The sequence below is a fragment of the Homo sapiens genome, chromosome 9 (genome assembly GCF_000001405.40).
Source record: "Homo sapiens chromosome 9, GRCh38.p14 Primary Assembly".
Lineage (NCBI taxonomy): Eukaryota > Metazoa > Chordata > Mammalia > Primates > Hominidae > Homo > Homo sapiens.
Genome location: NC_000009.12, coordinates 119,385,034 through 119,387,117, shown reverse-complemented (window position 1 = coordinate 119,387,117; position 2,084 = coordinate 119,385,034).

Here is a 2,084-nt window from a genome sequence, read left to right as displayed (position 1 = left end):
AGTTCAGTTTTCTTCACCTTCCTCATCTTCAACTACTATAAGTTAGAAAAATTGTGAAGGGTCATTTTAAAACCGTGGCCTTGGTGGTACTCCTGATAGTGCATCCCTAGAACTAAAAATATCCTAAGTCTATCTTCTCTATATATGTAATTTATTCATAAATGTTATACATTATTATATCTATACAGTATGTTTGTCATCACCTACATACATAAGAAAAATAAACTTTGAAGGATGAAATGTATACAGAAATAGAATTCTAATATTTTCTCCTCAAAACTCAAAATAGATCATCTTTCCATCTCTACAATGTGTGTTTACCCACCTTGGAGACCATTTTTCCTCAAATATAAAATAGAATAAAATAAATAAATGAAGACCAGGATAGGTAACTGACTTCTTGAGTTGACATATGACAATTCAATAAAGCACAAGCTATTATTCACATTTTATACATAAGGGACTTGAAGTTGAGATGGGCTAGAAACACCTAAAATTGTATATAAGGTAAACAGGAGAGTTCAGTAAAATGTAAGTCTCCTCATTCTGATTCAATGAACTTGCCTTTGCATAACTGTGTCCCCACCCTTTGAAAAATGATACTTCATGCCTGATATATAAGGACAATGTATCCAAGCAGCCTACTACCGTTAACTAAAAAAATCCTTCAAGATAGGCCAGGCTCAGTGGCTCACGCCTGTTATCCCAGCACTTTGGGAGGCTGAAGCTGGCGGGTCACGAGGTTAAGAGATGGAGACCATCCTGGCCAACATGGTGAAGTCTTGTCTCTACTAAAAATACAAAAATTAGCTGGGCGTGGTGGCACGTGCCTGTAGTCCCAGTTACTTGGGAGGCTGAGGCAGAATAGCTTGAACCCGGGAGGCAGAGGTTGCAGTGAGCCGAGATCGCGCCACTGCACTCCAGCCTGGTGACAGAGCAAGACTCCGTCTCAAAAAAAAAAAAAAAAAAGTCCTAAAGATATGATTAAAGTCTTAGTTTGCAAAACAAATCACAAAAGATATTTTATTAAATTAATACAATTTAATGAAGATATTAGTAATCATATTATAATATGCAGGAGATGACATTTAATCCCATGTTTCTACATCATTTGCTCTTCATTCTTTCTCTTATTTCAGGTATGGGAAGAAGTGAGGTCAGTGGGAATTAACTTTTCATTTCCAATTAATGAGGTGAGATTTTTGGAGAAAAGTAGGCCTAAAAAATGGCATGGAAATGGGCTAGAAGGAGGGAGGCAGAGCACTTGGAGAATAAAGGAATCTTTGGGGGAAGTCCCAAATCCCAGCTGTTATCCACCAAGTAATCACGTACTGCAGAGAGTGAAAGACTGGACCAGATTCAGTCACTGACCTGGAGATGAAATTCTCCATTTTCCATTATCAACTCAGCCAGAAATTTACTCCCCCTGGAGCCATATTTAGCCAACTTGCTATCTCCCTCCACCCTGCCTGGTTCATAAGCACAGATATAGGCATGGAGGTGAACAGACCCAAGCATTATCTTCCCAAAGGGCAAACTATTTTTGTACTGCATCAAGCAGAGTGCAGGGACCAGAAATGGTTGTTGCAAATAAAATAACAATACTAAATCCTGTTTGCAGTCCTGAGAGTGATGGGTCAAAGGAGATAAGAAGAGAAGATGAAGAATCAGAACTGAAAATCTTCAGCCCACTGGCTATAGTAAAGTAAATACATTTTAGAGAGGTGCAGTTTGGTATTGGAGAAAGAACATAGATTTGACAGTGGAAAGAACTGTGTTTACGCTCCCCATTTTACCTTCTCCTGTGGCTAGATTTATAGCACACCACCTCTACGTTACTGGCCTCAGTGAGATGACATTTCAAATGGGAATGCAATTTTTGATGCCACATAGAGTCGTTCTGGGTATTAATGTGAGAGTAAACATGAGAGTGTTTATTATTTACCTTCTACTCATTCTCTAGGGTCAAGACTAAGTGACCCTTCCCTTCCACTCTCAACGACTTTTATCTATGTGACCGTTCTTCTTCCCAAATCTGTTCGAAGAGCTTGTCCTAGCCACATTACAAAAAGCAAAATGAAATA